Source organism: Homo sapiens, chromosome 2 (assembly GCF_000001405.40).
Source record: "Homo sapiens chromosome 2, GRCh38.p14 Primary Assembly".
NCBI lineage: Eukaryota > Metazoa > Chordata > Mammalia > Primates > Hominidae > Homo > Homo sapiens.
The window spans coordinates 87,789,172-87,801,977 of NC_000002.12; the positions used below are offsets into that span (position 1 = coordinate 87,789,172).

At 39.0% G+C, this 12,806-nt stretch overlaps 1 protein-coding gene across 10 annotated transcripts in view; it reads right to left on the reverse strand.

The window, feature by feature from the left end:
- RGPD2 (RANBP2 like and GRIP domain containing 2) overlaps positions 1-12,806 on the reverse strand; it is a 233,859-nt gene that overhangs the window by 33,212 nt on the left and 187,841 nt on the right. For all 10 annotated transcript variants that reach the window (XR_007081580.1, XR_007081581.1, XM_047445734.1 and 7 more), the window contains 10 exons: positions 11,434-11,521; positions 8,794-9,003; positions 6,496-6,677; positions 6,237-6,412; positions 5,946-6,069; positions 4,864-5,022; positions 4,460-4,597; positions 4,051-4,197; positions 2,991-3,170; positions 2,819-2,902 (listed from right to left, as the gene is read on the reverse strand). Coding sequence is in view for 8 of the 10 variants with exons in the window: in XM_047445734.1 (XP_047301690.1) it covers positions 2,819-2,902; positions 2,991-3,170; positions 4,051-4,197; positions 4,460-4,597; positions 4,864-5,022; positions 5,946-6,069; positions 6,237-6,412; positions 6,496-6,677; positions 8,794-9,003; positions 11,434-11,521 (1,488 nt within the window). In the remaining 2 variants the exon portion in view is untranslated. The remainder of the gene's footprint in view (positions 1-2,818; positions 2,903-2,990; positions 3,171-4,050; positions 4,198-4,459; positions 4,598-4,863; positions 5,023-5,945; positions 6,070-6,236; positions 6,413-6,495; positions 6,678-8,793; positions 9,004-11,433; positions 11,522-12,806) is intronic.

Consider the following 12,806-nt stretch of genomic DNA (forward strand, 5'->3'; position numbering starts at 1 on the left):
CCTCAAGTGATCCAACACCTCAGCCTCCCAAAGTGCTGGGATTATAGGTGTGACCCACCACGCCCGGACCTGATTATATCTTTTGAAAGTTTCTATTTGCCAATGAGTTCTAGGTACCTGGTGCTGATTTTAAAATATGATTCTTAATTTGTTAAAAATTTATCTGCTCCCATTTTCATTCGTTAATACAAAACCTAATTCATTAACTCTCTCACCTAAACAAATAACCTCCTAAATGATCACACCTTCATTTCCATTCTACACTTGCCTACATTAACCTTTCTGACATTCACCTCCAGCCAAGACAATTCCCTGCTCAAAAAAACAAGTACCTACAAACTAAACTTCTTTCCCCAACTTTCACAGTCCTCTAACATTACACTGACCATCCTTTCAGTGTGTTCTTTCTATACTGCAATCTGGACTACCTGACATTCCAAATCACCTCCCCAAATTAGCTTTTCACTTAACCCCATGCTGAAACAAAATACAACTAATTCTCCAGGTGACGTTCAAATGCTCCACCAGGAAAGGGAAAAAAGCAGTAGCTGCAGATAATTTATTATGTATATAATAATACGTCCAATGCACTTAAACTCTTAATTTTTATACTATCTACACTGTTAGGTAAACAATATTAGCTCCTATCTTAAAATGAGAGAAAGGGATGCAGGGAATAACAGCTGGAATTTGAACCACATCTGACTCCAAAAATGTTCTCTTAACACAACTCTGCTGCCTTGACAAGATGGCAGATAGATACAATGCCGTCTAGTGTAGCTATGTGGCTACCTGATCTCTGCTGAAGAAAACTAAATGACAGCACCATACCCAACCCTAGAACCTACAAAATGTCCCCTTACAAAACAGACACTTAACAGGAAATTCTTTTTCCAAAGAAATTGTAGTGGTATCAGAAAACAGGTAAATTTTGAAAAGTTTCAAACTTCTCTGTATCAGCCCAGGAATCCGACCAGTTCTAACAAGTGAGGTCAGGGACAGATCTAGCATGTCTGCTTTCTTTTTCTACAAGTGTTTCAAATAAAAATTTCCCAGAAAGACCTAACCATGAGGTCCAAAACTATCTCAATTTTCAAGCTAAATAAAATTTCCCCCACTCATCCATCTACAGTGCCTAGTCCAGATGCTACACATACACATCCAAGAAATAAGAAACTAGTGGAATCACCTAGAAAACTTTATGGTCACTGTTGGTATCCGCACCAGAGCTTTGAATTTGCAATCACTGCTGTAACTGTAATTTTTAACATTCAGTGTAATGAGAACTGGCTTCAATAATTCTCTCATTTTAAAGATAAGAAGCCAGTCACGAAGGAAGTGACTGGCCCAAGATCATTAATTAATGGCAGAGTCAGTACTAGTACCAAGCTTTTCAAGCTCATGGACTAGTGCTCCACTATACTTCCACAGAATACAATGTTGGGAGCCTGAAACCTGTATGTTAAGTCAAAATTGTATGTAATTGTCATAGGCCATGACTACACAGAATTAACATTCAAGATTTTTGTGCAAATTCAAAAATGTCTTCCCCACCAAATAGTATTCTCTTAATTTGCAAATACTGCTGATCACACTGTAATAATCGCCACACATCAGCATATCCTTGATGTAACTTTAGCAGTATAATTTAGTTCTTGCCTGATAAACATGAAAGAACCTACTTTTATTTCCAATTCCAAAAAAGTCAAGCTCCTTTGAACCCTATTGTTAAAATAAGATATATATACATAACTATTTCCTTACATAATTAAGTCAAATTCATATGGAAGTATTAAAATATAGCAAGACTTTTTGAAGCTCAGACCACTTTTCAATTCCTAGCTATACATTTGAAACACATGTAATCCACAGCTAATCTGAGAATGAACTCATAGACCAGAGTATGATTAGTACACTGTAGCAGTTCAATCACTCGGGAACCTTCTCTGTGTCAGGAACTCTTATATTTTAAATAAAACAGTTTCTACCTTTGAAGGTCTCAAATTTTGTGGAAGATGAGGAGAGAGACACATAAAGTACTTTCAAAAATATAGTAAAGGGCTGGGTGTGGTGGTTTACACCTGTAATCCCAGCACTTTGGGAGGCCAAGGCGGGCAGATCGCCTGAGGTCAGAAGTTCAAAACCAGCCTGGCCAACATGGTGAAACTCTGTGTCTACTAAAAATACAAAAATTAGCTGGTCCTGGTGGCGGGTGCCTGTAATCCCAGCTACTCAGGAGGCTGAGGCAGGAGAGTCGCTTGAACCTGGGAGGTGGAGGTTGCAGTGAGCCAAGATCGCACCATTGCACTCCAGACTGGGCAACAGAGTGAGACTCCATCTCAAAACAAAACAAAACAAAATATGGTAAAGGGTCAAGACCAAGGTATGTAGGCTGGGCACAGTGGCTCACACCTGCAATCCCAGCACTTTGGGAGGCTGAAGCAGGAGGATTGTTTGAGCCAGGAGTTCAAGGCCACCCTGGGCAACATGGAAAAATCCCATCTCTACAAAAAATACAATTAGCTGGGCCTAGTGGCGTGTGACTCTCTGTAGTCCTGGCTTCGTGGCAGGCTAAGCCAAGAGGCTCTCTTGAGCTAGGAGGTCGAAGCCACAGTAAGCTGTGATCATACCACTGTACTGCAGCCTGCACAACAAGACCCTGTCTTAAAAAAAAAAAAAAAAAAGACCAAAATGTCCCCTTGCCATACTATTTGGATGGCAAGGGGACATTCTGACCAGCTTCAGAAAAAAAGTGAGAGAGTGGCCAGGGAAGGAATCTTGGAATAAAAAGTACAGCTAGAGAAATTAAGTGACTTACCGTAATGGCCTTTACTTCTTGGCAAATCATTTTCCGTAAAGAATTCTGATCTTCTGCCCATCGAGGTGGTGTTTTGGGAGAATACTAAAAAAAAAAATAAAAATAACAAAAGAGCATTTAAAACACTTAGAAACAATTTCACAATGAAATGATTCCATTCTTTCCTGTTTACCTTGTAACTTTTACTTGGTGATAGTGAATATTTGGTAGGAGATGGTGTAGAATGTTTTATTTCTGAATCTGCATTTCGCAAAGAACCATTTTTATAGAGAGGACCTCCTTCACTATAGTCTTCGAGTTCCTGCATGACTGACTTAAGCATCTCTTTTACAGACTCCAGGGGCACAGGCAACTAAAAATAAAAGACATTAATTAAGGGCTTTCATTTGCAAAAAATTCCAAAAGTAAAAACTCTAAAATGATATATTTTATCTTATTTACATTTTTGTCATTTTAATAAGCACTTTACACTTTAAATAATAATACACGTGAAAGTGTTTTTTAATTATCTTTTTTCTTTGTTTTTCTGCTGTTTTGTATTATTATTTTTATTTTTTTGTCTTTATTCTATTTTTTTCTTCATGAACACAGAAAAGTGTTGTACAATCTAACATCTTCTGATTCTAAAGTCCATGCTCTTTCTATTACTTCTGTTAACCATGATAATTGTAGAGGAATGTTAACTTGGAAAGCTTTTCCAAGTGAACAAAATAAGTTACTGATGTTTTCTAACTGATTTTCAATGGTGACAGAAATACAGATGCTACAATACACCAGACAACATAAATCCTAATAAAAGAGTAGTAACACAAATTAATCAACAAAACACTCAGAAGACTGAACATAATTTAACATCATCATGACAATCTCAAACAGCTGACAGCAAGAAAACAAGGGCGTTCATAATGGCTGATGAGGATGAGAAGAAATGCTCTTAAGTTGTCAGCAACAACTTTCAATTTCAGCAAAGTTCATTAAGAATTAGTCCTGAGGTTATAATATTTGTTTTGATTACACTGCTAAGATAACACCTAGATTCCCAAGTTTAAAAAGACACACCAAACCTAAGACAAAGCAAGCAAATATAAGCATTTAGACACACACATCCCTTCTGTGCATTAATAACAACATATTACTGAGTATTTTTGAAATTACCAAAATATAAGACCAACGCAAAAACACTGACCAGTGGGTTATCAGTAAGAACGTACATACAACAACCTGCTACTTACTTTCTTGACCACTGAAAGATTTGAATCACTGTCATCTATAATCTTTATTAGGTAGTCCCTGGTCTTTCTCAGATAATTTTTGCATTCTTCTTGTTCTTCAGGAAAAACGGCATCATTTTCAATGTCTTCTGCTTTCCTGTGAAAAATCTATACAAATAGTGCTTTTATGAAATCATTAGCTTTTTAAAACAAAAAACTTTCAGCTTGGCCACGCATGGTGGCTCATGCCTGTAATCCCAGCTACTCGGGAGCTGAGGCACAAGAATCGCTTGAGCCTGGGAAGCAGAGGTTGCAGTGAGCCAAGATTGTGCCACTGCACTCTAGCCTGGCCAACAGAGAAACCCCGTCTTTTAAAAGAAATAATAAATAAATAAATAAAACTTTTAGCTCAAGTACTGCATCTACTTACCAGTGCAAGATTCCAATAAGAAACAACACTTTTTATAGATTCAAAAGCAGTCACAGCATCTTCTATATTTCCATGTACTGCATCCAATATAGCAAAAGTTATGTGTGCATCTTCTTCATACTCAACAATTTCTGATGCCTAAACACACAGAATAGTTTTTAGTCAAATTGTTTATACTCAGAATATAAAACCCAAATGATTTTCCAAAGATTTTATATGATCTTAAGAGACAAACATCTCATTACTCTTCTCTGTCATATCTTATCTGTGAGAGCTAGTGAATTTAGAAAACAAGATTACCGTTAAATAACAAGGCAATTAATTTAAGCAGTTTATAGCTCCACGTCTTTGTTTATAAACTGGAAATTCCCATCTCCAATAAATTCATAAAGGAACTCTGTTACCTGAATGTCTACACTATGAAAATGTTTAAACAGAGGATCAATAGGTTCAGGAATACTGTTCTTCTTTATTATCTTCAACAATGGCAAAACTTTCTTCCAATAATGAACACTTCTCCCTATGTATTCTTGTTGATCATAAGAAGAATTAAGACCCCTGCCCTAAAAAAGAAAGTTAAAAGCACACAACTTTAAGGAACACGCATGATTAGATCTAAAGTTCATTTACAGGTTGTAAGAACTGGCTAAAATTTCAAGTCAAAACCAAATGGTACCTCAATAGTCATTTGTTCAACTTCCAAATACTGTAATAACTAAACCACCTTAATACCAGTGAACTCACTGCAACCTCTGCCGTGCAGGTTCAAGCAATTCTCCTGCCTCAGCTTCCCAAGTAGCTGGGATTACAGGCACCTGCCACCATGTCTGGCTAATTTTGTAGTTTTAGTAGAGTTTTTTTTTGTATTTTTAGTAGAGACGGGGTTTCACCGTGTTAGCCAGGAATGATCTCGATCTCCTGATCTTGTGATCTGCCCGCCTCGGCCTCCTAACGTGCTGGGATTACAGATGTGAGCCACCGCACCCGGCCTCTACACTCAACTTTTAAACACTTCTAATGATACCACCCTAATGTAGCAATCCCAACTACTTTTTAACAGTTGCCATTTTTAGATAGCTGAAACCTGCCTCTTCTGTAGTGTCAGTTTGTTCAAAAGGCTGACCATCTTCACCTAATGGTGACACAAAACAAACCTTAAATATTTAGAAAGATCTATAATGGTCTTACCTACAAAGCCTTGTGCTAATTTTTTTTTTTAATTTTCAGGCTGAATAATTATCAGAACTTAATTATTAAGGAATAACAGTAACAGCTCAGCTAATATGTAACATTCACTGTGTGCCAGGCATTGCTCCTCTAAGTGCTTATATTTAACTACATTAACTATTTTGCAGCAATAAAAAACACATCTGTCATAATATGACCAAGCTGCTGTTTTCTGAACAAAAAAACTTTCAATAAAAAGTGCATGATTTTAAAAAATTAAGGTAATGTTCTTTAAAAATGCTTATACTTTAAAACTCACCATTTTCTGAAGGCATTTTGCCCAATGTACAAGCAGAGCAGGTTGAAGGCCATGTTTTTCCTGGGCTCTTAGAGTGTTTATTTCATGCTGAACTACAAGTCTCAATTCTGCTGAGTTTCCAGGTCTAAAAAATACTTCAATTTACTAAAATTGTTTTCTAAATACACAGTTCAGCGCTTACATACATATATGTTAATGGGTCACATGACAAATTAAATCTTCACATGAGGATTAAATCCCCGGTAAAACCTACGCACTAAGTGAAAGCAATATTTTTGTTTTACTACTTACACTGCTTTTCTGTGAATCAGAGTACAAACCGCATCCCACCAAGATTTTTGTCTCTCTGTACAAAGCCGTTTACACACAGGAAGGGGCAGGCATAACGGCTGATAGGAGCTGTGGTGAGAATTACATTTCTCCTTTAATTGTAAGTGGCTGGTATATACTACTCCAAGGAGAAATACCTGTTTTATTTAAGGAAAAGTTAAGTTAGAAAAAAAAATTAAACAAAATTCAGAATATTTAATTTGTTAAAATCTTTGCTTACTTCAAGATCTAAAATACATATTGATTCAGGTGCATTTGTTTCAAGCCTTGAGGTTTCCTGGGGCAAATGATGGAAAAGCTGTTTTAGCCATTTTCGGATTCCAGGTAAAGCAGGCAATGAATTCCACTGTAAGCCAAGCCAAGTAAGGTGCTGAAGACTACCATTATGTGCTTGAATAGCACCTGAAATAAAATAAAAAAATTGGCTTAAGGGTTCGAAATTTTTCTTTGTGCCATTAGTTTTGCCAACATAAACAATTCACATTATATATATCTTAATTATATAACTGCTTTTCTATATCAAAGCTGGAGGGAATTCTATGTTAGGCAAAATCTCATGTTCTTATTAAATGCATTCTCACTTGATTATTTCTAGAAATTTTAATAAAAATAGTAGTGATGAAGAATGTTTAAGTCCATCTTAAAAAATGACACTGACTAGAACTCAATAAACCAAAATCAACTGACAAAAGCCAAATAAAGAACACCTAACCTAATAAGAAACCCCAAAACAATGGGTTTTCCTTTAAGTCATTAAAGCAATGGAACACCACTATATTAATCCATCGGTACAGTAAAGAAATCTGTTTTTCTACAAGAAAGTCAATATTGAAAAGGTTATGTGCAGTCAGGAGTTCGAGACCAGCCTGGCCAGCATGGTGAAACTCCGTCTCTACTAAAAATACAAAAAATTAGCCGAGCATGGTGTCACATGCCTATAGTCCCAGCTACTTGGGAGGCTGAGGCAAGACAATTGCTTGAACCTGGCAGGCGGAAGTTGCAGTGAGCCGAGATTGCACCACTGCGCTCCAGCCTGGGTGACGGAGCGAGACTCTGTCTCAAAAAAAAGAAAAGAAAAGAAAAGAAAAGGTTATGCGCTTCTGGAAGCATGAAGAGGTATAATCTTTCTGTCATTTTGGCAATTTGCAAGACTTAAAGATGTTCATGTCCTTTGTCTCAGTAATTCTGTTTTTAGGTATCTCTATGGAAATAACTTGCAATGAAGACACTTTTTGTTGAAGTTTTTATCAGAGTATGATTATTAACAGTGGAAAAGTTGAGAAAACTTGGATGCCCAATAACAGAAAGTTGCAAGCAAATTATGACTACTTCATAAAAAAGATTATATTGCCAATAAAAGTGATATTTATAGTTTTAATACAGAGACTATGGGAGAGAATTCATGAAGGAAGCAAGATAAATCATACATAAACAACCATTTAGATGAAAAATATGGTCAGATGCAGTGGCTCATGCCTATAATTCCAACACTTTTGTTTTTGAGACGAAGTCTCGCTCTGTCGCCCAGGCTGTAGTGCAGCAGTGTGATCTTGGCTCACTGCAACCTCCACCTCCCGGGTTGGAGCGATTCTCCTGCCTCAGCCTCCTGAGTAGGGACTACAGGCACATGCCACCACCCCCGGATAATTTTTGTATTTTTAGTAGAGATGGGGTTTCACCATGTTGGCCAGGATGGTCTCGAACTCCTGATCTCAGGTGATCTGCCCGCCTCGGCCTCCCAAAGTGCTGGGATTACAGATATGAGCCACTGTGCCAGGCCTAATCCCAACACTTTGCGGGGCTTAGGCAGGAGGATCACTTGAGCCTAGGAGTTGGAGACTAGCCTGGGCAACAAAGGGAGACCCTGTCTCTACCAATTAAAAAAAAAATTATCTGGGCCGAGTGGCATGTGCCTATGGTACCAGCTACTCAGGAGGCTGAGGCAAGAGAATCCCTTGAGCCCAGAAGTTCAAGGCAGCAGTGACCTACGATCACGCCACTACACTCCAGCCCAGGTGACACAGCGAGACCCTGTCTCAAAATACAACAAGGCTGGTCGCGGTGGCTCACTCCTGTAATCCCAGCACTTTGGGAGGCCAAGGCAGGTGGATCACCTGAGGTCAGGAGTTTGAGACCAGCCTGACCAACATGATGAAACCCCGTCTCTACTAAAAATACAAAAAATTAGCCGGGCGTGGTGGTGGGCATTTGTAATCCCGCTACTTGGGAGACTGAGGCAGTAGAATTACTTGAACCCGGGAGGCAGAGGTTACAGTGAGCCGAGATCGCACCACTGCACTCCAGCATGGGCGACAAGAGCAAAACTTGGTCTCAAAAACAACAACAACAACAAAAAATACATGCCACCCCTACAGCACCACATTCAAACTCCCCCCAGCCCAACCCACACACAAAAGGAATACAGGAAAATATTAAGTCGTTATTTCTGGGTAATAAGATTATGGGCAATTTATAATAATTAAGACGGAGACCATTTCCTCTGAAACATATAACTTACCAACATCGTATCTAGCCAAATCTTCAAGCTCTGGTTCTTGTACATCAATGTTTCCAATATCATCGCTACCAAGAAAAGATGTATCCTTAGATGACTGACTAGAAAACAGAGCATTATATAACACAGACTGCCCGCTTTTGTTGGCAAAAGTTTCAACAACCTCTTTTAAAAAATCTTGCTTGCCACGACTTAAGTTTAGCAACATATGCCCTGAAAAAAAAATTTAAGTTATTTCCATCACTTTAAAAATACAGATTGTATTTGCTCACGTTGTCTCATTTGTATACCCAAAGGGGAAATAACATGATTATTGCAGACCTAACCCTCCAACCCAAAAAATACAGCTGGACAACAAAACGGGTGCTTATGTAGCAAATGAAAAGAGTACAGGTTTAATATTCTCAGTATCTACATAAGACAGCAGAAGGGGGAAAAAAGACAGGAATGTGTATGAAAAATGCCAAACATATTTGCATTTTAGATGAAAAGGTCTGGATTTAAGTGGCCATAGGAGAACAGGGACAAGCTCTTATTCTCTGATCTGATACACTGATTTCTGAACCTGGCTGATCAGAATCCTCCTTTAAACAGCTTTTAAGAATTATTTCCGGCTGGGCACGGTGGCTCATGCCTGTAATCCCAGCACTTTGGGAGGCCAAGCTGGGTGGATAATGAGGTCAGGAGATCAAGACCATCCTGGCTAACACAGTGAAACTCCGTCTCTACTAAAAATACAAAAAAAAAAAAAAAAAAATTAGCCGGCCCTGGTGGCGGGCGCCTGTAGTCCCAGCTACTGGGGAGGCTGAGGGAGGAGAATGGCGTGAACCCGGGAGGCGGAGCTTGCAGTGAGCCGAGATCACGCCACTGCACTCCAGCCTGGGCGACAGAGTAAGACTGTCTCAGGAAAAAAAAAAAAAGAATTATTTCCAGGCCTTGTTCCCAGAGATTTTTATTCCATAGGTTTACAGTAAGCAATCAAAAAATCATAGTCCTCGGATAAAATACTGATACATGCTATAACACAGATGAACCTTGAAAACCTTGCTAAATGAAAGAAGCCAGTCACAAAAGACCACATACTACATGATTCCATTTATGTGAAATGTTCAGAAGAGGCAAACCGGCCGGGCGCGGTGGCTCACGCCTGTAATCCCAGCACTTTGGGAGGCCGAGGCGGGCAGATCACGAGGTCAGGAGATCGAGACCATCCCGGCTAAAACGGTGAAACCCCGTCTCTACTAAAAATACAAAAAATTAGCCGGGCGTAGTGGCGGGCGCCTGTAGTCCCAGCTACTTGGGAGGCTGAGGCAGGAGAATGGCGTGAATCCGGGAGGCGGAGCTTGCAGTGAGCCGAGATCCCGCCACTGCACTCCAGCCTGGGCGACAGAGCGAGACTCCGTCTCAAAAAAAAAAAAAAAGAAGAGGCAAACCTACAGAGACAGATTAGCGGTTGCCAAGGCTGAGAGGTTTGGGTAAAATGGGGAGTAACTGCTAATAGGTAAGAAATTCCTCATGGAGTGATGAAAATCTTCTAAAACTGACTGTGGTGACAGTGGTAATACTCTATGAACATAGTAAAAGCCACTGAACTGTACACTTTAAATGGGTGAAGCGTATGGTACATGAATTATATTTCAATTCAACTTTTTTTAAAAACCCTCCTTTGAGTTAATTCTGCTGGGCAATTAGGTTTGGTTACCACTACACAGTTGTGTCTCAGCACACTTACAGAGGCACCCTCGGGATGCCCAGATCAAAGACATAAAAAAAAAATACAGGCAATTTTCATCTAACTGTGACACCATGCAAAGGCACTTATGAGAGCCCTGCAAGGGTAGAAGGAAAAGAGAAAAGGAAAAAAGTAGAAAGTCACTTTAAGGACTGAAAGCCTAGCTCCCACAAAAAAAGTGGGCTATGGAATAAAAGAGCAATGTGAGCTTTGGCCAACAGCCTAACTATACACCAAAGCTTATAATAACTTTGATTTAATATTACATCTTGCTCTTTACAAAATTCATCCAATTTTATATCAAAACTGCTCCTTATAGGAAGCATTATGTTTCTTCAGTTCACTGCTTGATTCAATGGCCATCTAACTACCTTAAAGTTTGTATCTTAGCAAAATCACAGGTAATATGCAACAGACCTTTAGGATTCATCCCAAGCCAAAAACGGGGGAAAAAAATCCACAAATTCCAAGAGCCTAATATAAGGTAAGTATATATCTTCTATCTTCCTCACTATGCTCTCAGCTCTTTAAGACAGATCCGTATCTTCTTCATCTTTATATCCCCACAGCAGTGTTTTTAGAATCAGCTGGTGTTAAATGGTTGGCAAATCAATAATTATACTTAGTTCAGGAAGTGACTAAATATTCAGGCTAGAGGCTCTAGCAGCCAGATGAAGAAAGAGTTAAGAAATCCTCTCCACATAGGAACAAACAATATCAAATATTCATTTTTTTTAAAGAATGTGCTATTTCTTCGCATCTCTTCCATACCTATTGCTCTTAACTGATACGGCAAAAAGAAATAATTTTGACAAATTATCTCCTGGACAGATGAAGATTTTATCATAAGATATGCCTTAACAGAAATTCCTTTTTCTTTTTAAATTAAATTAGTTTAATATTACTATTACCTGATTGGCTCAGTCGGTCACAGGCCATCATTTCCAGCAGATTTTGTCCAGCTTCACCTTTTATTAATTTAATCTTTGGTCTTGGAACCTAATAATTTTAGAATCAAAAATCTTAATTTGATGATACCCATACTTCTAATAGTAACATGGTCTTGTCTATTACACTGTACTTTTTTTGATAATGAATAAACAGTTAACCATTAATTAAACTGAATTGGAAAAGACTGCAAAAACTGGGAACCAAGGAATTTATATAACCTATGAAAGATAGGCCAGGTACAGGCGTGGTGGCTCACACCTGTAATCCCAACACTCTGGGAGGCCAAGGTGGGCTGATCACTTGAGGTCAGGAGTTCGAGACCAGCCTGGCCAACATGGTGAAACCCAGTCTCTACTAAAAATAATAAAAAAAAAAACAAAGAGGCAGGCGTGGTGGCACACACCTGTTAATTCCGGCTACACGGGAGGCTGAGGCACAAGGATAGCTTGAACCTGGGAGGCAGAGGTCGTAGCGCGCCGAGACTGCGCCATTGCACTCCAGCCTGGGTGAAAGAGCGAGACTCCATCGCAAAAAAAAAAAAAAAGAGGGGCCAGACATGTTGGCTCACACCTGTAATCCCAGCACTTTGGGAGGCCGAGGTGGGGGGATCACTTGAGCCCAGAGTTCAAGACCAGCCTGAACAACACGGTGAGACCCTATCTCTAAAAAAAGTTTTTTTTATTAGCCAGGAGTGGTGGCACACAACTGTGGTCCCAGCTACTCAGGAGGCTGAGGCAGGAGGATCACTTAAATCCAGGAGGTCAAGGCTGCAGTGAGCCATGATCATGCCACTGTGCTCCAGCTTGGGTGACAGAGTGAGACCCTATCTCCAAAAAAAGAAAAAAAAAAAAAAAGCATACACAGAGCAGCTCTGAGAAATTAGTTTCTACTAAAAGCACATTCGTGTTACATTCAGAGAAATGGAAAATTTAATTATATTACTTTTCTGCCCTGAATAAATAGGACAACAGCAGATGTTGTCCTATTTGAGTAGATATGACACCCTACTTTAAAAAGTACAGGTGAAATGACACTTGGAAATGCCACATTGTAGATAACACATTTTCAGAGTATGGATAACAGGGGATAGCACTAGAATAAATGGGACAACCAGGAAATTAAAGAGATCCTAATGCAATAACCTATGGAAAAAAAAAAAGCATGATGAATAGAATGGCGAAGGGAAGACGTGACAGCTGCCTTCAGGTATTAAAATTATTTTATAAAAGAAATCATCAAAAGAAGAAACAAGACCAACAGGTAGAAGGCTTGAAGAATATTTTTATTCTATATAAGGAAGTACCAAGAGCCAAACCACCTAAAGATGCACTGG